Raw genomic sequence first — 24,089 nt, 5'->3', positions numbered from 1 at the left:
AGACTTCAATGGAATTCCTTTGCTTGGTATCAGCTATAGAAAGATGTGTTTGCACTGAGGGTGGACAACACTACAGCAAGGACCTACATGTGTAGGCAGAGACTGATCTAACTAATCAGTAAAAACTGCAAATGAGCATCAGTTCCATACAATGTCTTTGTGATATGATTACATCAGTATACCTACTTCTCCATATGTGTTTTTTTTTTTTTCAGGGAGTTAGATGGCTCCTCTCTGCTTGTTCTTTTTGCCTAATATTTTTGTTGTCCTGAATATCTTCCATTAATTGAATGTCATGTTTTTATTGCTTACTTGAATGCATACAGCATTCAAGGGCTGTGGCAGATGAAAAAGAAATAGAATGTGCTGGTCTAAATCACCTAGTAATTTAATGACTAGTTTGAGAAACAAGACATAAAAAGAGATAAACAAAAGTGCACGCCTGACTATATTTAAGCAATAAATGATAAAGACATTAACAATTGTTGATTGTTAAGTGAGTAACCCACTTTTGGAGAGGATGAGGAAGGCCTCAAAGAACAGATCATCACCATCATAGCTAATTCATAATTTCTATGTAGAATAGGCTTAGGGTATAGCAATCTGAGTAGAAGGAAGGGTTGAGGGACTTGTCCTGAAACTGCATTTACATTAACAAACATACTGTTCTTATGTAGATTATATGCTTATTTATAATGGATCTTGAAGAATACTTAGGGCCTGGCTTAGTGAAGGAGAGAAAATCTTCTTGGTTGAAGAGTCCCAATCTACTGTGTGTATAACTGAATTTGTGGAAGATACGATGTGTAAGACAAGGTTTCTGTTCTCAATAATGTTGTAACCTGCATGGAGAGGCACCATATACATGAATAGAAAGTCATTACAAATAGAAATAATTTTGAGATAAATGTCATTTGCAAGTGCTAAGTGATCAAAGGAGAAAGAGAGGTCAGCATTTGCCTTGGTGGTCAGGGAAGCCTTCCTGGGTCAGGTGAAACTTTGAGCTAGGCCTTGAAAGAGACATAGAAATCGAACAGGCAGAGAAAGGGAGCTCATGTCAAATTACATTGATTGTCTTCCCTGACTTCACAGTCAGCACTGAATGAACTCTCTTCCTGTGACTCACCTTCTGAATGACATCATTTTATAAATCTTAGGTGCATCATGACTTGCGTTACTTTTGAATTGGAAGTGTTATCTCCCCAACAGCCTGTGGAATGATTATTTAGCACTGGCAGGTAGTGCTGCATCATACCTTTCTGTTCTGAAAGAGTTAACAGAGCTTCTATAGGTATCCAACCAGAAGTTCAGGCACTGGACCTAGACTTTAGATAACAGAAATGCCTTTGTGCTGGAGTACACTTAATGAGAGAGAGCACCTCTGTCCCGACACATTTGATGAATTCACTCAATTTGGGAAAACCCAGACCAGCGCACAGACACTAAGATGAGAAAAGAAAAGGTTTCGTTCACCTTCTTCATTCCAAGGTTGTGAATTCATTCTTGGGAGGCCTTGAAAAGGGAGGGTGGAAAGAGTAGGAGGAGGAGTGGAGGTGGGGGATACGGAGTTTCTGACCTGAATTCCACAACAGAGGAATGTGTGAACAGCAAGAGACACAGGTACAGGCTAGTGCTCTCACATACCTGAGGAAAACAGATTTTACCCAACTTCCACTCTGTCCACTCTGCAGACAGTTGACAGTGTGGTAAAGAGAATTAATAATTCTATATAATTATTTTATTTAATAACTTATTTTTATTTACTAATTTTATTTGTTATTATTTATTAATATGTTTTATTTCCCAGAGTTTAGGGAGGGTACCGTGAAAAAGGAGAGAGAATTAACATTTTAAAACACTTAAACACAAAAAAGAAATTGGCTGTAGAATGTCCAAAGTGAACAGTTTAATGCTGTTTAAAGCGGTCCTGGATCAGCCATGTTTAAATGAGGTATATGAAGAACAAAAATCATGCTTGTTCTGATTCGTCATAAAACTACAAGGTGGTTAACTGGGAGAGAAAATGACGTCAGCCCCTCTTATTATGAAGCCCTTTGGGAAAGCTAGTTAGATGTATTTTTTACTATCTTTGTGAGAGACCCTTGGGACAGAAGTTAGTTTCAGAAAATGCAAAACATCCACAGGGACAATCATAGTACATTTGTTCACATTGCCATGCAAACTGTAAAGGCAAATATAAACTATAATTCAGGGCACATAGAAAAGTTAAGGAAACATGGGAAGTTGATTCTCCTGCTTAATAAGACTGACAGGATAAACCAAAGTCAAATCATTTATATTTTATAAGCTGTAATGTTTTCTAGATATTGGGTTAAGGAAAAACATGAGATACCTGCAGTTATTGCATCAACTCATTGTAATTTTTGCTTATAGTTCTTTTCTTTTGAGATTGATAAATATTATCTGTGGAGATTTTTCTTCTCACCTAAAGAAAGTTCCTTTGGCTGATGGGGCACATTTCACGGTATACACAGGATCTGCTGTCATAGAGAATAGCCCTATAAACCCTCAAACTGATAAGTTATTTCAACTTTCAACTGTGAGTCAGAATCTGATGCTCCAGAGGTAGCATGTGGAAGATCACACAGTAACACATGTTTAGCTTTTGATGAAGAGCTTTATAAACTTTGCTAGGAAAAGGTACTCTTGCCCTTGATCTTTCAGTAGTGCATTGAGTGACAAAGACAAGCAATAGTAAATTGGTTGGGGTGGAGTGGAATGGTGATGACATTAATATAAAAACAAACTTCACTGAATACTATGTAAGTATACCATCCTAGAGAAAGTGGTATATGGCAACATAGAATCTCAGAACCTGTATTCATATGGATTATTTTTATTATTAATTTTTATTGAGTAATAATATACATTCAATGAAATATAAAAAAAAAACTTAACTCTTCTGCTTAATATATAAAACCACCTAGATCAAGATATAGAACATTTCCAGAATTGCACCAGACTTGCTTCTAACTTCTATCACCATAGATTACTTTTTGACTCTTCTTGAATTCATAAAAATGGAATTACATGGTGTAAATTCTTTTATGTCTAGCTTTTTGTTATCATCTGTAAGATTGTTGCTAGTAGCATTTACAATTACTTTTAATGCAAATTGATCAGTGAACAATTCAGTGATTCCACAAGTAGACGATAAATGCCTTCTACATGCCAGACATTGTGCTAGGTGCTAGGAATTCATAACCCAGTTATATATGGTTCCTGCCTTCAAGGAACTAACAGCTTTAGTGGAAAAGATGAACAGGCTAAAAATAAGAATATAGCCACACCAGCTTTTTTTGTGATTAGTATTTACAAAAGATACCCCTCCCATCTTTTTATTAGGTTTGGTGCAAAAGTAATTGAAGTTTTCGCCATTACTTTTTTTTTCTTTTTCTTTTTCTTTTATTATTATACTTTAAGTTCTGGGGTACATGTGCAGAATGTGCAGGTTTATTACATAGGTATACATGTGCCATGGTGGTTTGCTGCACCCATCAACCCCTCATCTGCATTAGGTATTTCTCCTAATGCTATCCCTCCCCTAGACCCCTACACCCCGACAGGCCCCAGTGTGTGATGTTCCCCTCCCTGTGTCCATGCACTCTCATCGTTCAACTCCCGCTTATCAGCGAGAACATGCAGTCTTTGGTTTTCTGTTCTTGTGTTAGTTTGCTGAGAATGATGGTTTCCAGCTTCATCCATGTCCCTGCAAAGGATATGAACTCATCCTTTTTTATGGCTGCATAGTATTCCATGGTGTATATGTGCCACATTTTCTTTATCCAGTCTATCATTGATGGACATTTGGGTTGGTTCTAAGTCTTTGCTATTGTGAACAGTGCCGCCATAAACATACGTGTGCATGTGTCTTTATAGTAGAATGATTTATAATCCTTTGGGTACATACCCAATAATGGGATTGCTGTATCAAATGGTATTTCTAGTTCTAGATCCTTGAGGAATTGCCACACTGTCTTCCACAATGGTTGAACTAATTTACACTCCCACCAACAGTGTAAAAGCGTTCCTTTTTCTCCACATCCTCTCCAGTATCTGTTGTTTACTTTTAAAGTTACTTTTTATTACTTTTAAAGGTGAAAATCACAATTACTTTTGCACCAACCTAATAATTTCAACCATGCTATGACTTTATAGTTATTTGGTGACAGCTTTATTGAGATGTAATTCACATACTGTACCACTGAATTCACTTATTTAAAGTGTATAGTTCAATGGTTTTTAGTATATTCATTGGTGTTTATAACTATCACCACAGTCAAGTTTGGAACATTTTCACCAGCTCAAAAAGAAATCCCATAGCTGTGGGCAATGATCCCTCTATAACTTTATCTCCCCAAACCCCAAGCAACCACTAATCTGCTTTCTGTCTCTATAGATTTGCCTATTCTGAGCATTTCATATAAATGAAACCATACAGTATGTAGTCTTTTGTAAATGGATTCTTTCACTTAGTATAATGTTCTTAGTGTTCATTAATTGGTAGCATGCATCAGTACTTTATTCCTTTTTATGGTTGAATAATATTCCAATGTATAAATATACCACATTTTGTTTATCCATTCATCGGTTGAAGGACATTATGATTCTTTTTTCACTTTTTGGCTATTATGAATAATGTTGCTATGAATATTCATGTACAAATTATTGTGTGGTCATTTTTTTCCTCTTGAGTATATACCTAGATGTGAAATTGATAGGTCAAATCACAATTCTACATAAACTTTTTAAAGAGCTACCAGGCTATTTTTCAAAATGGCTGCACCATTATACATTCCCATCAGCAATATACTAAGGTTTCAGTTTCTCATATCTTTGTCAGCACTTGTTATCTCTTTTATTATAGCCATTGTCTTAGTCTGTTTGGGTTGCTGTAACAAAATACCATAAACTGGGTGGTATATAAACAACAGAAACTTATTTTACACAGTTCTATAGGCTACAAAATTCAAGATTAAGGCATCAACAGATTCAGTGTGTGATGAGGGCCCACTTTCTGTTTCATGGACAGTGTTCTCACTGTGTTCTCATGTGGTGGAAGCAATGAACAAGCTTTCTTGGGCCCCTTTTATAAGGGCACTAATACCATTTATGAGGTTTCCACTCTCATGACCTAATCACCTCCTGAAGGCCCTAATTCCTAATATCCTTACCTTGGGGGTTAGAATTTTAGCATGCTAATTTTGGGGAGACTCAAAGATCCAAGTCATACACAACATCCATTCTCATGAGTGTGAAGTGGTATCTCATTGTAGTTTTTATTTGCACTTCCCTGATGGCTAATGATATTGAGCATCTTCTCATGTGCTTATCAGTCACTTAAATATTTTCTTTGGAGAACAGTTTTTTTTTTTTTCAGATCATTTGTCCATTTTTAATTGGGTTAATTGTCTTTTTGATGTCCAGTTGTGAGAGTTCTTTATCTGTTCTAGATTACACGCTCCTTATCAGATAGATGATTTGCAAATATTTTTTCCCATTGTGTGGGTTATCTTTTCAATTTCTTGATAGTGTCTTTTGAGGTATGAAAATGTTTAATTATAATAAAATCCACTCTATTCTTTTTCTTGTTGTTCATGCTTTTGGAGTCATATACAAGAATCCATTGCCAAATTTGAGGTCCTAAATATTTATATGTTTTCTTCTAAAAGTTTTATAGTTTTAGCGCTTACATTTAGGGCTTTGATCCATTTTCAGTTAATTATTACATATTGTGTGATGTAGCAGTCCGAGTTCATTCTCTTGCATGTGGATATCCAGTTGTTCCACGCCATTTGTTGAAAAGACTTCCTTCCTCATTGAATGGTCTTGGCACCTTTGTTAAAAATCAACTGAGGCGGGAGAGCTGGCAAGATGGCCGAACAGGAACAGCTCTGGTCTGTAACTCCTAGCAAGATTGATGCAGAAGGCGAGTGATTTCTGCATTTCCAACTGAGGTACCCGGTTCATCTCATTGGGACTGGTTGGACAGTGGGTGCAGCCCATGAAGGGCGAGCCAAAGCAGGGTGGGGCAGCGCCTCACACAGGAAGCACAAGGGGTCGGGGGATTTCCCTTTCTTAGCCACAGTAAGCCATGAGAGACTGTACTGGGAAAAACAGTACACCCTGGCCCAGATGCAGCACTTTTCCCACAGTCTTTGCAACCAGCAGACCAGGAGATTCCCTCTGGTGCCTGGCTCGGGGGGTCCCAACCCCACAGAGCCCAACAAGCTAAGATCCACTGGCTTGAAATTCTTGCTGCTAGCACAGCAGTCTGAGGTCGACTGGGAGCTTGGTGGGGGGAGGGGCTTCTGCCATTGCCGAGGCTTGAATAGGTGATTTTACCCTCACAGTGTAAACAAAGCCACCAGGAAGTTAAAACTGGGTAGAGCCCACCACAGCTCAGCAAGGCCTCCTGCCTCTCTAGATTCCTCCTCTCTGGGCAGGGTGTCTCTGAAAAAAAGGCAGCAGCCCCAGTCAGGGACTTATAGATAAAACCCCCATCTCCCTGGGACAGAGCACCTGGGGGAAGGGGCAGCTGTGGGTGCAGCTTCAGCAGACTTAAACGTTCCTGCCTGTCATCTCTGAAGAGAGCAGCGGTTCTCCCAGCACAGCGTTTGTGCTCTGATAAGGGACTGACTGCCTGCTCAAGTGGGCCCTTCACCCTTGTTTATCCTGACTGGGAGACACCTACCAGTAGGGGCAGACAGACAGCTCATACAGGAAAGCGCTGGATGGCATTTGGCTGGTGCCCCTCTGTGACGAAGCTTCCAGAGGAAGGAACACCATCTCCACTGGTGATACCCGGGAAAACAGGGTCTGGAGTGGACCTCCAGCAAACTCCAGCAGACCTGCAGCAGAGGGGCCTGACTATTAGAAGGAAAACTAACAAACAGAAAGGAATAGTATCAACATCAACAAAAAGGACGTCCACTCAGAGACCCCATCCAAAGGTCACCAACATCAAATCCACGAAGATGGAGAGAAACCAGCACAAAAAGGCTGAAAATTCCAAAAACCAGAGTGCCTCTTCTCTTCCAAAGGATCACAATGCCTCGCCAGCAAGGAAACAAAACTGGATGGAGAATGAGTTTGATGAACTGACAGAAGTAGGCTTCAGAAGGTGGGTAATAACAAACTCCTCCGAGCTAAAGATGCATGTTCTAAACCAATGCAAGGAAGCTAAGAACCTTGAAAAAAGGTTAGACAAATTGCTAACTAGAATAACCAGTTTAGAGAAGACATAAATGACCCAATGGAGCTGAAAAACACAACATGAGAACTTTGTGAAGCATACACAAGTATCAACAGCCAGAATGATCAAGCAGAAGAAAGGATATCAGAGATTGAAGATCAACTCAATGAAATAAAGCGAGAAGAAAAGATTAGAGAAAAAAGGATGAAAAGAAACGAATGAAGCCTCCAAGAAATATGGAACTTTGTGAAAAGACCAAATCTATGTTTGATTGGTGTACCTGAAAATGATGGGGAGAATGAAACCAAGTTGGAAAACACTCTTCAGGATATTATCCAGGAGAACTTCCCCAACTTAGCAAGGCAGGCCAACATTCAAATTCAGGAAATACAGAGAACACCACAAAAATACTCCTCCAGAAGAGCAACCTCAAGATATATAATTGTCAGATTCACCAAGGTTAAAATGAAGGAAAAAATGTTAAGGGCACCCAGAGAGAAAGGTTGGGTTATCCACAAAGGGAACCCCTTCAGACTAAAAGTGGGTATCTCTGCAGAAACCCTACAAGCCAGAAGAAAGTGAAGGCCAATATTCAACATTCTTAAAGAAAAGAATTTTCAACCCAGAATTTCATATGCAGCCAAACTAAGCTTCATAAGTGAAGGAGAAATAAAATCCTTTACAGACAAGCAAATGCTGAGAGATTTTGTCACCACCGGGCCTGCCTTACAAGAGCTCCTGAAGGAAGCAGTAAACATGGAAAGGAACAACTGGTACCAGCCACTGGAAAAACATACCAAATTGTAAAGACCATCGACGCTGTGAAGAAACTGCATCAACTAATGGGCAAAACAACCAGCTAGCATCATAACGACAGGATCAAATTCACGTATAATGATATTAACCTTAAATGTGAACTAGCTAAATGCCCCAATTAAAAGACACAGACTGACAAATTGGATAAAGAGTCAAGACCTATCAGGGTGCTATATTCAGGAGACCCATCACACATGCAAAGACACACATAGGCTCAAAATAAAGGGATGGAAGAATATTTACCAAGCAAATGGAAAGCAAAAAAAAACAAAAACAAAAAGCAGGGGTTGCAATCCTAGTCTCTGATAAAACAGACTTTAAACCAACAAAGATCAAAAGAGAGAAAGAAGGTCATTATATAATGGTAAAGGGATCAATGCAAAAGAAGAGGTAACTATCCTAAATATATATGCACCCAATACGGGAGCATCCAGATTCATAAAGCAAGTTCTTTGACACCTGCAAAGAGACTTAGACTCACACACAATAATAGTGGGAGACTTTAACACCCCACTGTCAATATTAGACAGATCAACAAGACAGAAAATTAACAAGGATATCCAGGACTTGAACTCAGCTCTGGGTCAAGTGGACCTAATAGACATCTACAGAACTCTCCACCCCAAATCAACAGAATATGTGTTCTTCTCAGCACCACATCTCACTTATTCTAAAATTGACTACATAATTGGAAGTAAAACACTCCTTAGCAAATGCAAGAGAACGGAAATCATAACAAAACAGTCTGTCAGACCACAATGCAATCAAATTAGAACTCAGGATTAAGAAACCCACTCAAAACCACACAATTACCTGGAAACTGAACAACCTGCTCCTGAATGACTACTGGGTAAACAACGAAATGAAGGCAGAAATCAAGATGTTCTTTGGAACCAATGAGAACAAAGACACAACATACCAGAATCACTGGGACACATTAAAGCAGTGTGTAGAGGGAAATGTATAGCACTAAATGCCCACAAGAGAAAGCAGGAAAGATCTAAAATCGACACACTAACATCACAATTAAAAGAACTAGAGAAGCAAAAGCAAACAAATTCAAAAGCTAGCAGAAGACAAGAAATAACTAAGATTAGAGCAGAACTGAAGGAGATAGAGACACGAAAAACCCTTCAAAAAATCAATGAATCCAGGAGCCAGTTTTTTGAAAAGATCAACAAAATAAATAGACTGATAGCCAGACTAATAAAGAAGAGAAGAGAGAAGAATCAAATAGACGCAATAAAAAATGATAAAGGGGATATCACCAACAATCCCACAGAAATGCAAAGTACCGTCAGAGAATACTATAAACACTTCTACACAAATAAACTAGAAAATCTAGAAGAAATGGATAAATTCCTGGACACATACACCCTCCCAAGACTAAACCAGGAAGAAGTCAAATCCCTGAATAAACGAATAACAAGTTCTGAAATTAAGGCAGTAATTAATAGCCTACCAACCAAAAAAGTCCAGGACCAGACGGATTCACAGCCGAATTCTACCAGAGGTACAAAGAGGAGCTGGTACCATTCCTTTTGAAACTATTCCAAAGAATAGAAAAAGAGGGAATCCTCCCTAACTCATTTTATGAGCCCAACATTGTCCTGATACCAAAACCTGGCGGAGACACAACAAAAAAAGAAAATTTTAGGGCAATATCCCTGATGAACTTTGATGCAGAAATCCTCAATAAGATACTGGCAAACCGAATACAGCAGCACATCAAAAAGCTTATCCACCACGATCAAGTTGGCTTCATCCTGGGGATGCAAGGCTGGTTCAACATACACAAATCAATAAATGTAATCCATCACATAAACAGAACCAATGACAAAAACCACATGATTATCTCAATAGATGCAGAAAAGGCCTTCAACAAAATTCAACAGCCCTTCACGCTAAAAACTCTCAATGAACTAAGTATTGATGGAAACTATCTCAAAATAGTAAGAGCTATTTATGACAAACCCATAGCCAATATCATACTGAATGGGCAAAAACTGGAAGCATTGCCTTTTAAAACCAGCACAAGGCAAGGATGTCCTATCTCACCAGCCCTAATCAACATAGTATTGGAAGTTCTGGCCAGGGTAATCAGGCAAGAGAAAGAAATAAAAGATATTCAATTAGGAAAAGAGGAAGTCAAATTGTCTCTGTTTGTAGATGACATGATTGTATATTTAGAAAACCCCATAATCTCAGACCAAAATCCCCTTAAGCTGATAAGCAACTTCAGCAAAGTCTCAGGATACAAAATCAATGTGCAAAAATCACAAGCATTCCTGTACACCAATAACAGACAAACAGAGAGCCAAATCATGAGTGAACTCTCATTCACAATTACTACAAACAGAATAAAATACCTAGGAATCCAACTTAAAAGGGATATGAAGGACCTCTTCAAGGAGAACTACAAACCACTGCTCAAGGAAATAAGAGAGGACACAAAGAAATGGAAAAACATTCCATGTTCATGGATAGGAAGAATCAATATTGTGAAAATGGCCATACTGCCCAAAGTAATTTATAGATTCAGTGCTATCCCCATCAAGCTACCATTGACTTTCTTCACGGAATTGGAAAAAACTACTTCAAATTTCATATGGAAACAGAAAAGAGTCCACATAGCCAAGAAAATCCTAAGCAAAAAGAACAAAGCTTGGAGGCCTCATGCTGCCTGACTTCAAACTATACTACAAGGCTACAGTAACAAAAACAGCATGGTAATGGTACCAAAATATATATAGACCAATGGAACAGAACAGAGGCCTCAGAAATAACACCACATATCTACAAGCATCTGATCTTTGACAAACCAGACAAAAGCAAGCAATGGGGAAAGGATTCCTTATTTAATAAATGGTGTTGGGAGAGCTGTCTAGCCATATGCAGAGAGCAGAAACTGGATCCCTTCCTTACACCTTATACAAAAATTAACTCAAGATGGATTAATGACTTAAGCATAAGACCTAAAACCATAAAAACCCTAGAAGAAAGCCTAAGCAATACCATTCAGAGCATAGGCATGGGCAAACACTTCATGACTAAAACACCAAAAGCAATGGCAACAAAAGCCAAAATAGACAAATGGGATCTAATTAAACTAAAGAGCTTCTGCACAGCAAAAGAAACTATCATCACAGTTACCAGGCAACCTACAGAATGGGAGAAAATTTTTGTGATCTATCCATCTGACAAAGGGCTAATATCCAGAATCTACAAAGAACGTAAACAATTTTACAAGAAAAAAAAACCCATCAAAACGTGGGCGAACGATATGAACATTCACTTCTCAAAAGAAGACGTTTATGCAGCCAACAAATGTATGGAAAAATTGCTCATCATCACTGGTCATTAGAGAAAGGCAAATCAAAACCACAATGAGGTACCATCTCACGCCAGTTAGAATGGTGATCATTAAAAAGTCAGGAAACAACAAATGCTGGAAAGGATGTGGAGAACTAGGAATGCTTTTACACTGTTGGTGGGAGTGTAAATTAGTTCAACCATTGTGGAAGACAGTGTGGCTATTCCTCAGGGATCTAGAACTAGAAATACCATTTGACCCAGGAATCCCATTGCTGGGTATATACACAAAGGATTATAAATCATTCTACTATAAAGAGACATGCACATGTATGTTTATTGTGGCACTGTTCACAATAGCAAAGACTTGGAACCAACCCAAATGCCCATCAATGATAGACTGGATAAAGAAAATGTGGCACATATACCCCATGGAATACTATGCAGCCATAAAAAAAGCATGAGTTCATGTCCTTTGCAGGGACATGGATGAAGCTGGAAACCATCATTCTGAGGAAACTATCACAAGGACAGAAAACCAAACACTGCATGTTCTCACTCATAAGTGGGAGTTGAACAATAAGAACACATGGACACAGGGAGGGGAACATCACACACTGGGGCCTTTTGGGGGGGTAGGGGTCTAGGGGAGAGATAGCATTAGGAGAAATACCTAATGTAGATGAGGGGTTGATGGGTGCAGCAAACCACCATGGCACATGTGTACCTATGTAACAAACCTGCATGTTCTGCACATGTATCCCAGAACTTAAAGTATAATTTAAAAAAAGAAACAAAAATAAAATCAATTGACCAAGATGTATGGGTTTATGTCTTAAGTCTCAATTCTATTTCATTGATCTATATCTCTGTCCTTACAGTGGTACCATACTGTCCTGATTATTGTTGCTTTGAAGTAAGTTTTGAAAGGAGGAAATGTGAATCCTCCAGTTTTATTCTTATTTTTCAAAATTGATTTGGTTAATCTGGAAACCAACCAATTCCATGGAATTTGAATCAGCTGATCAATTTCTACAAAGAAGCCATCTGGGATTCTAATAGGGATTTTATTGAATCTATAAATCAGTTTGAGGGAGTATTGCCATCTTAAAGATTTTGCCTTCTGATCTATGAACATAGTCGTGTTTTTTATTTAGATTTTCTTTAATATCTTTTTAAAAATGTTTTGTAGTTTTCCAACTAAGTTTTGCCTTTTTTGTCAAAGTAATTCCTATATATTTAATTCTTTTTGATAGTACTGTAAATGTAATTACTTTTCGTAATTTCATTTTTAAATTGTTCATTACCAGTGTACAGAAGTACTATCAAAAAGGCAAAACTTAGTTGGAAAACTACAAAACATTTTTCCCATTCTATACACATACTATATTTCCCATTCATATAGTATATATGACTAGGAAAAAAAATAGTATATATAAGAATTGGTACTATCTGAGGTTTCAGGCATCCAACTGGGGTCTTGGAAAATACCACCCATCCCCCACAGATAAGGCGGTCTACTGCATACAAAGTGATGGCATGCTAACTGTGACATTTGATCCTTCCAAAAATACACTGAGTAATTGGGATCATTGCCACTTTTACAGCCAGCAAAGTTAAGTCAAGCAGGGGAGCAAAGTCTTGGTGTAAGTTTTGAAAACATTCTGAAGTCCAATATTTTTTCCCTTTAGATTCCCCATGTGACCTTAGACAAGTTATTTGACTCTCCAAATCTTATTTCCTCATCTTAAAATGAGAGCAGTTGAGAGTCGACATTTACGTTTCCTTTATTCTCTAATATTCCATTATTTTTGAATTATCCTCTTTTGAGGTGTCCTTCTTTCTTTCCATATTTCAAAAACAATTATGTTCTCTCTCATGCCTACCAAGTAGGATTCTATTCCCTCAGAATGGAAAAGCTTGCCACTATGAGCCAGATCCCCAACACAGTGTGTATCCCTCTCATGCAATAGTCTCCAAACAAACCAGTTTACATTAGTAACTGCACGTAAACTGGAATTAACTCAGAGATTTCCCCTACGTGCTTCCCAGGTGTTTTCCTCATTGTTTGAGATAAAACAGTCATTCATATTTGCCTGTTTCTTGAATCTGTGCCTACATTCATTGCCTTGCCCCTGCCAAGTTGAATTTTGCCTAAGGAAAATGATGTTTGGTTTTTCACAGTAAATCAGATGGATGGATGGAGAGTTAAGATGAATAGCTGGAAAGATGAATGGATGGATGAGAAGATCAAAGAATGGCTGGAGGGCCAGAAGAATGAGGAGATAGATGTCTGGGTGGATGGGTAGAGGAATAAGTGAATGGGTAAGTGGCTAAGTGGTTAAAAGTATAGAGGATAAAAAGGATAGAGAAATGGATAAATGGGTAGAGAAATGGATAAATGGGTAGATGAATGGATGAGTAGGTGGGTAGGTGGGTAACTGGATGAATGAATGCATAGACAGGTAAATCAATATGTAAATATAAGTAACCAAACTTAGATGCAATAAAAAATACATACTCAGTCCCATCTTCACCACTTTGCACTGTGATTTGGGAAGCCCCCAGTTTGGGCCAGAATAGATTTATCACATGGTTGTTCCAGAGGAACTTAACTTTCTGTATTTTTCCAACATTGAGATCCACATCAATATCATGCATGTGACTTGCATCTGGTTTGAGGGATCCTTTGAAAATCTCATATTGTTTTGAGTTTCCATTACTTCCATACAAAGCAATCCTGATGTACCCACTCACTTTCTTTTTTCCAGACAGTGTGACTGATACCTTATATCTCCAACTAGTAAAGTTACCACTCTCTCCTGTGTTGAGGAAAAATATTTGTTCAACGGCACTGGTTTTCCCCTTAAATTGGTCAGCATAGTGCCCCATTTTGGGGCATCCTTCAGCTGGACAAGGGAAACAGCTATTCGCCTCGCATTCGTTGCAGAGTTACATCTCTTTGTTCTGTTCTAAGCCACAGGAATGCAAAAACACCCAAAACAGGGCCACCAACATCTTCCTCAGGCTTCTGGGGTAACCTACCTCCCAAAACTCATTGTAGGAGGCACAGGGATAGCCCAGGAAGCCATCAGGGTTGAGGATGCTGCTTGAGTCAGGGTTTTACTTCTTATAGCTTGGTGCTCTGTTGCTAGATGCATATATGTGTGTAATTGTTATGTCTTTCTGATGGGTTGACCCTTTCATCATGATAAAATGTCCCTATTTTTCTCTAGCAACATATTTTGTTTTAAAGTCAATTATGTCTGATTTTATTTTTATTTAAAGTGTGACTCTTTATACTTAAATTATAACTCTGTAGTTGGGTCAGATGGGTCTTGCTTTTTATTCATTCTGACAGTCTCTGCATTTAAATTGCAGTGATTAATCAATTTACATTAAATGTAATGGTTCTTATCGTTTAAGTGTACTAACTTGCTATTTCTTTTATATTTCTCTTTGTTCCTTTGTTCTTTTTTCTTGCCTTTTTGGAATTAATCAAAAGGGTTTATTATTATTATTATTATTATTATTATTATTATTATTATTTTTGGCGGGGGAATGGAGACAGGGTCTCACTCTGTCGCCCAGACTGGAGTACAGTGGCATGATCTCCGCTCACCGCAACCTCTGCCTCCTGGGTTCAAGCGATTCTCCTGCCTCAGCCTCCCGAGTAGCTGGGATTTCAGGCACGCACCACTACCGCCCAGCTAATTTTTGTATTTTTAGTAGAGGCGGGGTTTCACCATGTTGGCCAGGCTGGTCTTGAATTCCTGACCTCAAATGATCCACCCACCTCTGCCTGCCAAAGTGCTGGGTTTACAAGCGTGAGCCACCGTGCCTGGCCTAGTTTTTCATTTTATCTCATTTCAATTTTGGATTTTTAGCTATGTGTCTTGGTTGTTGTTTGGGGATTGGAGGGAGGTTTTTTGTAGTGATTGTTCTAGGGATTACAATTAATTTATCACAGTATACACATTCATGGCTATGGAGGTGTGGAATAATCTGACATATTTGGAAAGTGAGATGTTCTTTGTGCCTGGATCTTAGAGATTAATGTAGGGGTTAATGTAACCATTAATCAGACTAGAGTGATGATAATATTTTCATTTATTAAGTACTTATTATGTGCCAGGCACTGTGGTAAGTGTTTTATACATATTCAATTAAATCATTTCATCTTCACAACTACCCAGTGGGTAGATACGAGAAAACTAAGGCTTGGTAACTTTCCAAAGGTCACATAGCAAGTAAGAGACAAATCCAGGATGAAAATCCTAGCAGACATAATGAAGGTGAAAAGAAAATGGTATATTTGTATTGGGGTGCATTTGAAAATTTCTGAGGAAAGACAAGATGTGAGCAGACTTATATTTTAACACAACTCTGCCTGCTGAATTGGAAATAATTAGAGGGCACCAAAACTTGGACTGAGATACCAGTGAAGATACTGCTGTTAGAGTCTAGGTGAGAAATAATGAGTGCCTAAAATAGGAAAATAAAAAAGAGGGTAAAAAAGAAAATTAAAATTCAAGAGAAAAATCAATATGAGCTGAGATGTTAGTCATAAAGAGAGAGAGATAGGAAGAAAATAGAGAATGAAAAGTCCTTATTTTGTGCTAAGCTTAGGAAGAAAGAGTAGATTCAAATATCGGTTATTACTAATACCAATATCATCAGTTGCATATGATTTTATTTGTTAGACTGTATACTAATGCTATTGGCATTAATAACATTATTGTTGTTGTTGTTAATGAAACTTTCATTACCAATAACTTTTTAAATTATTATTATAATGATTAACATTTACCAAGTGTTACCTATGTGCTAGGTACTATTCTAATTGCTTTGTTTATATGTATTACCTCATTTAATTCCCATAATAGCCTTGTGAGTTAGGTACTAATATTCCATTTTGCAATTGTGGAAGCTGAGGTCCAAGGAGGTTAAGTAACTGCCCAAAGGCACATAGCTAATAAATAGTACAGCCAAATCTAGTCTGAAAGTATTGATATAATTATTTGGCCTGTACAATGCTTCTTTTTTTAAAAAAATGTTAACTTGTTTTCAACATGTAGACATCAACATAACTTAAATTTTTTAAAGATACATATTTCTCAGCTTCTTTTAAAGCAGTATGCTAGAATCTGGCTATACTGGGTCTGCTTTCCCATATGGCAGTGTTCAGCTGGACTTAATGAGCTGCCCCTTTAGACAGATCATAAGCTCTCAAGTAGAACTCAGTGCCCATCCATCCTGCTTACCTTATTTATGTTACCTGACTATCCCTTTTGGGATGAGTTACAAACCTTAAGGCACAAGAATACCTGCAGTTCTCAGGAATTGGGGGCTAAGACAAACAAATAGAAGATAATAAATAAGATAACCTATAATTTAATAATACAGTCATGGTTGAGGGCACAATATTTTAAAGGGACAGTGACGAACTGGGAATTTTTATAGAAGATGGCTTACATTGAAGAGTAGATGCAAATAGAACCATGAAGGTGGGCTTGATCCACTTTATAGGTAATAATACTCTAATAATAATAATGCTCACTATGTCTCAGGCATTGTAACAAATGCTTTACATGCATATATCTCTTTGAATCCTTTCAACAACCCTATGGAGTATATTATTATCCTCTTTTTACAGATGAGGAAAATGAGGCCCATATCACTTTGGTAATTTGTGCAAGAATACACAGCTACTTTTTGATTCAATGACTCTGGGCTTCTGATTCTGGCTCAGAGCCCTTTATAGTGTAGTTTCAGAAAGTGCTGAAAATCTTCATAGTTTCCATATTCTCTAAGAAGAATTTGTAAACTGAGTAAGTAACAGTGTTGCAGAGAACTTACAAGTATGATTTGCCTCAGGTGTTCCATAGTTGCCTCTAAATTTCTTTCAGGGAACTGTTGAATAAAAGATGAGACAGATCAGTAGTGGTGAAAAAGATCCCAAAAGTTAATCAATACCACAGGTTGTTCTGGATTGAAAAGGATGTCACTGCCTTATGGAAAAGCTCCTAGGTTCAATGTGTATCCAGTTTCCTGTCTATTTTAAAGCTCAGTAAACAACGCGTAGGCCAATGGAGACTTCACTGTTCACTCTGGCCAGTGCATGACCTATTCCTCCAGCCCTGAAGAAATCCAGTTTCCAAAAAGTGATTCAGTTAAACTTTTTTTTCTTAAATGGCAATTCAGCTATTTATGAACTAGTTTACTGAGATAATCCCCTTAAGCTGTAGAGGACAATTTATTTAGGAAAGACTGTCAACATTCTTGATTCACAAAAGTAAAAAATAGGCTTCTTAAATTTAGTTTGTGTTAATTAAATATACTATCTCCATTAGCTTGTGTTTTTAAAATAGTAGATTGACAGCATTACCTGGTTGAATGAGTATAAAGCAAAAACTCTCCTGCTGAAGAATCTCAGTAAATGCATAAACCCAGGAGCTTCTATGCTGACTCTTTAGCATGTTGGATTATTTAGCAGATTCTTGGAATTATTATCAAATATTGGCGGCAGAGAGATTTGTAGGACAGACCACCAGGTCCAGCCTGATCATTGGCAATAATGAAGAGAGAAGACACAAACAGGGTCAGGGGCAGGGCAAAGAGAAGACTTGGGGTCTCCAACTGCTGGAGGGATATTCTTCTCTCTGTACCATCCAGCCTTGAGAGCTTTTTAAAAATATTAACTTATTTTAAATGTGAGATTGAGACAAATCTAGTATGTTTCACCTGTATTTGTCATAATACTACTAGTATGTCTCCATCAGCTGTGAAGTATACTGCAATTAACATATTAATAATAAAATAGTAACATTTGTGGATTTTTTGATATAAATAAAGCAGAGTCAAGATTATCCCTTAAATCAGTCAGAGTCTCAGCAGGAAGTGGATAGTACACTAAAAAGACTAATTTAGAAGAGTTTAGGTAAGGTAGTTCACACCTGTAATCCCAGCACTTTGGCAGGCAAAGGAAGGAAGACTGTTTGAAGTCCAGGAGCTTGGGACTAGCCCTGGCAACATAGCAAGCCCCTTCTCTACAAAAAAAAAAAAAAAAAAAAAAAGTTTTTTAATTAGTTGAGAGTGGTGGTGTACAACTGTAGTCCCATGTAGTCCCAGCTACTCAAGAGACTGAGGTGGGAGGATAGCTTGATCCCAGGAGGTTGCGGCTGCAGTGAGCTATGATTGCGCCACTGCACTCCAGTGTGGGCAACAGAGCGAGGTCCTGTCTCAAAAATAAAAATAAAGGAATTTAACGAAGTGACTATTCACAAAAGTGTGGGCATTCTCCCTGGACATAAAACAGGGTGAAAAAAGGTGGAGCATTGAGATCAAACGGGCAAACATAATACCTAACACATCCTTTAACAATATGTTAGGCCAATTGCAGTAATTTTTTAAAATCCAAAATATTGGGAGTTTAATATAATAAAGATCCAATGTGGGTCCATGGAGGAAATAGGTGACTGTGTCCCATGCAGTCATTCAGAAACCCAAGCTCTTTCCATGAACTTTCTGCCATGGCCTAAGGCAGGAGTCAGCAAACTTTTCTGTAAAGGGCCAAGTAGTAAATACTTTGGCTTTGTGCGTCTGCCTCTGTCACAACTACTTATCTCTGTTGTTGAGCACAAAAACAGCCATAGACAATACTTAAAGGAACAGGTATAACTGTGTTCCAATAAAATTTTATTTACAAAAATAGGTAGCATCAAGATTTGGCCCAGGGGGCCATAGTTTGCCAATCCAGGCCTAAGGCATCATAATCTTCCATGGAATCCTTTACATCTGAGGGCAGATAAGAAAAAAGAGAGTATGTGGAAGATTACATGAATAGTTTTTATGGATCATACCTGGAAGTGGCATACAAGAATCCTACCCGTATTTCATTGTCCAGAACTGAGTCATGTGGCTGCATCTAACGTCAAGTGAAGCTGGCGAATATAATCTATGTGCCCAGAAAGATGAAAAAACTCTGGCAAACATCTGGCCAGCTTCTATAGCTTAAAATTTCCTCTAATTTCCTTGCTGTAAGCCAACTTTTCCTAAAGGGTATCTCATATATACAATACATGTACTGGAGACTTTTTAGGGAAAAAATGGGTTCTGAGACCATATATGATTAGAAATAATATTTATAGGTTCTTTCTTCATATTGAGATTCACAGTGCGTATTAACATATCAAAGGTTCTGAAAAGTCTTATAGTGTGAAACAAAGAAACAAACAAAAAGCTCCCTAAAATGTTGGTGAACACTATTTTATAATAAAGTTACTGATGCTCACTTGCATTTGGAGTGGGAGATGAAGGGAGTAGAGTCCAGGCAGTGCTGGGGAAATTATTTATGATCCCATATATTTGCATTGGAATTTCTTGTGCATAAAAACTTTTTAAAATATAAAGCCACTACATGAAAACATTTTTTTTTTAAATTTCTTCACATCCTTACCTACCACCTACACAAATGGACTGCCTACTTTAATTTCTGAATATTGTTCATATGCCTATTTCTGACTAGAAAGTTGAGTTAGAGCTTTTTTTTTTTTTTTTTTTTTTTTTTTGAGACGGAGTCTTGCTCTGTCGCCCAGGCTGGAGTGCAGTGGCGTGATCTCGGCTCACTGCAAGCTCCGCCTCCCGGGTTCACACCATTCTCCTGCCTCAGCCTCGCTAGTAGCTAGGACTACAGGTGTGCATCACCAGGCACACCACCATGCCCATCTAATTTTTTGGTTTTTTTAGTAGAGACGGGGTTTCACCATGTTAGCCAGGATGGTCTCGATCTCCTGACCTCGTGATTCGCCTGCCTCGGCCTCCCAAATGCTGGGATTACAGGCGTGAGCCACCGCGCCCGGCCGAGTTACAGCTTTTTAAATTCTCCTCCTCCCCTTAACTATTATTAAGAAACACCCAAGAATGATCAATAAATACTTAAAAAAAAAAAAAAAAGAAATTTTTTTTCTGTACAGAGAAAGTTGAAACATCCATTTCCATGTTTGGGATGAGAGAAGATTATTTATGTTATTGGAGAACAGAAGATTATAGACTGTCAATAAACTTTTACTTTTAAATGAATAAATAATACATGACAATTCTTTTCACATAAAAAAAAAAAAGAAAGAGGAAGACCTCTTTGCAGTTGAGATAAGAGGAAGGCATCTGTCTCCTGCTCATCCGTGGGCAATGGAATGTCTCAGTGTAAAGCCCAATTGTATATTCCATCTACTGAGATAGGGGAAAACCGCCTTAGGGCTGGAGGTGGGACATGCTGGCAGCAATACTGCTCTTTAATGCATTGAGATGTTTATGTATATGCACATCAAAATCACAGCACTTTTTTCTTTACCTTGTTTATGATGCAGAGACCTTTGTTCACGCGTTTTCTTACTGACCTTCTCTCCACTATTACCCTATTGTCTTGCCACATCCCCCTCTCCGGGAAACGCCCGATAATGATCAACAAATACTAAGGGAACTCAGAGGCCGCGGCCGGCGCGGGTCCCCCTTATGCTGAACGCTGGTCCCCTGGGCCCATTTTTCTTTCTCTACACTTTTTCTCTGTGTCTGTTTCTTTTCCAAGTCTCTCATTCCACCTAAGGAGAAACACCCACAGGTGTGGAGGGGCAACCCAGCCCTTCAAATTTACATAGAGTTAAATATACACATATTACTCTGAAGATAAACCTTAGGTGTAAGAAAAGTATTAAGTGAGAGTGTTTGTGTGAGTATGAGTTTGTACATATTTTCAGAAAAAAAGAGCAATAATTGCAACAAAACAAATAAATAAGCTGACTAATAGAAAACTAAACACCTCAAAAATGCTGAAAGCAAATCTATACTTTTTGTTTTGTCTTGAATTCCTTTATTCATTTTATTTTATTTTATTTTATTTTATTTTTTTGAGACAGAGTTTCACTCCTGTTGCCCAGGCTGGAGTGCAATGGCACGATCTTGGCTCACTGCAACCTCCACCTTTTGGGTTCAAGTGATTCTCCTGCCTCAGCCTCCCAGTAGCTGGGACTACAGGCAGGTGCCACCATGCCCAGTTAAATTTTTTTTTTTTTTGTATTTTTGGTGGAGACTGGGTTTTACCATGTTGGCCAGGCTGGTCTTGCATTCCTGATCTCAAATGATCCATCCACCTCGGCCTCCCAAAGTGATGGGATTACAGGTGTGACCTGCCACATTCAGCGTGTCTTGAATTTATTACTGTAAAATGTTATGGCTTATGGTTCAGATTCTCCCTAGAATCTGCCTATTAAAGCACAGGCATCTTTGTCTTCAGAAATAACACTCTTGAGTAGAACAATAAAAGCCCTCTTCAAACAGAAAAAAATAATCATTTTTAACACTTATTTTAATGAAAATTTAACCAACATTGAGTAATTGGATATATTTTTATTGTTTTATGTGTGTGTGAATGTATAAAATGGTACATACAGGAAAAATAATTTAAGCCAGAAAAAAGATGTAAGTTAATATTTGTAATGAATGAAACTGGAGAGTAGTTAATTATTAGTTGCAGATAATATCTTTGTTTATGTAGATAACAAAAGGAGCAGAAAGACTATTTTAAAAGTTTATTTAGGTGGGTAGGCAACATTTTAAGATAATACCCTGGATTACCAGTCTGTTGCACACCTGCTGTGTCATACTTTCCTCTTCAGTGAAAAAAAAATGTGTGACTGTGTTGGGAAATCACTCATGAAATTAGGTTACTCATCTGTTGACTTTGTGTTTATCAAAACGGAGATTATTCTGATTGTGCTAAACTTAATCACAGGTGCTTCTAAGAGAAAGAGACACATAGAAAAAAAAAAAAAAAAAGATTTAGCCTAGGGTTTGGAGTATGGTTGAGGCTGCAGCTGGGAGGCAAATGGCTCCAGACGTGAGAACTGCAAATGTTAGAAATCAGGTAGAGAGCTGACCTACATATTAAGATTCCAGGAGAAAAGGTAGTTTGGAATAGATAAGGACACCTCTTTTATTCAGAATCCAAAAAGAGTATTAAAAACAAGAGGTTGGTAGCATTTTCCAAGAATCCCAGCATCATGTTTCCAAACTCTCATTGATTCTGATTATAGAAGGGTTTTCCCCAGGTAACTCAGAAAAAAATATTTTAGGATAATACTCTTTCTTTCATCTTAAGTCAAATAAGTAAAAATTCCTGAGACCAGCAATTTGCATGAGGTAGGTTGATTGTTATACAGACCCACACAGGCCAGTGTCTTTCATTATATACTACATTTGGAAAAAATAACCTTAATTCCTGAGATAAGCACCATCAAAATGATTGAAAAATCTACAGTCCAAATCATTCATTTCTTAATCCCAAGAGATGCTCTTCCCCTTCAACCTAGCTGAGTGAAGAAGGCACTTCCCTGGAGATGGCAATTAGATTAGAAAGCCTGGAGCCTTCCCCTTGATTACTTAAAATGATCCTAAGTCCTTGAGCTAGCTTAGATGGATGTTAATGGTTTCCAGGGGACAGACAACTTAGAAAAGACAACTTCATTGCACTTCTCTTTTCCGTTTACTTACTTAACGCCTTGAAAATACTTTTCTAAATTTTATTAAAGAGACTGCAAGCCCTTAAAAATGAATCAGAGCGCTCTCTCCTGATTTCAAATAGCTGAATGAAATTCTGCCAAGTGCCGATAACAACAATCCTTCTGTGTCATGGATGGTCAACCCTGACTCCCACACCCTTAAAGCAAGTGTGAAGTCTAATCAGTATAATGACAAAGTAGTTATTAACATTTTGAAAAACCACCCTAAATTGCTGTACTTCTATGAGTTATATTGGTAGATTCTAACTCTTTTTCTTTGGCCAGATTGCTTGTCTAGGGACTTTGTGATTAAAAAGGCAGGAGATTATTTACGAAATGAACAAATGAGGTGGTTGTTTACTTTACCAAAGAATTTACTCACTCCTGAGAACCTTCTCTGTGCATTGAAAATAGGACGTGATTGACAGCCCCTTTTAAATTACCTTTGAATACTAAAATGTCAGCCAAACCTGTATTTTAGGTTCAATTCTGTTAGTGGTTTATGAGCATTAAAAAATGTGTTAAATATTTCTTCCGTGGTTATTATATTCCTTGGACAGCTTTAGGCCCCCACATGTCTCTTAGCCTGCCTTAGTTTCCCCATTGTTCAAGTGGGATAATAATACTTTTTTTACCCCAAAGAGGTGATTTGAAAATTAAGTGGTGAATGAGCTGCTTTGAAGATGAACTGCCATGTTTTCCTGGTTCCTTTGCTTCTAGATTGGCTCATTTTGCTACGGCAAAAATGTTGTAAATATGCCATGCTCAGTTTTCACGTTAGCATACACTCTTGAAAACAAAATTTGCTTAAAATATTTTCCCACTTCTCTGCCTTTGGTTTGTGGGGCTTTGGGTTAATTAGCATCCTCCAGCTCTTATCTAAGCCTTTGCTAAGGGCTAATTAACCAGTGTATACTTTGTCAAATTCTAATGAGAACTGATAAGGAGTCTTTTTAGCCTGTTTTATTTTCTTTTGGGGGAGGATATATTCTTTTAGCAAACATTTGTGTTTTTTGCAAGGAGACAATGTTTGTTAATTTAACCAATGTTTACTAAGCATCTTTAAGGCCTTTTGGGGGACACAAATGAATATAAAAGGAAAACAATTTTAAAGGAGCAAAGGATCTGAGGAAGTTAAGCTAGTTATAGAAATCTGTAAGCCACAAACATTATGCATATGTGTGAAGAGA

The 24,089-nt window shown here is 37.9% G+C and overlaps 1 protein-coding gene across 15 annotated transcripts in view, besides 1 other annotated feature; it reads left to right on the top strand.

The window, feature by feature from the left end:
* Positions 1 to 24,089, top strand: part of COL4A6 (collagen type IV alpha 6 chain) — a 283,845-nt gene that overhangs the window by 41,603 nt on the left and 218,153 nt on the right. The gene's annotated exons all lie outside the window — the stretch shown is intronic.
* Positions 6,197 to 6,838: an enhancer, noted in NCBI's record as "H3K27ac-H3K4me1 hESC enhancer chrX:107634248-107634889 (GRCh37/hg19 assembly coordinates)". NCBI's record gives its function as "activates a minimal SCP1, AML or CMV promoter by ChIP-STARR-seq in primed H9 embryonic stem cells {active_cell/tissue: H9 hESC(primed)}" and the evidence as "EXISTENCE:reporter gene assay evidence [ECO:0000049][PMID:30033119]".

Source organism: Homo sapiens, chromosome X, assembly GCF_000001405.40.
Source record: "Homo sapiens chromosome X, GRCh38.p14 Primary Assembly".
Taxonomy (NCBI): domain Eukaryota; kingdom Metazoa; phylum Chordata; class Mammalia; order Primates; family Hominidae; genus Homo; species Homo sapiens.
This window is presented reverse-complemented; position numbering and strand designations above follow the sequence as displayed.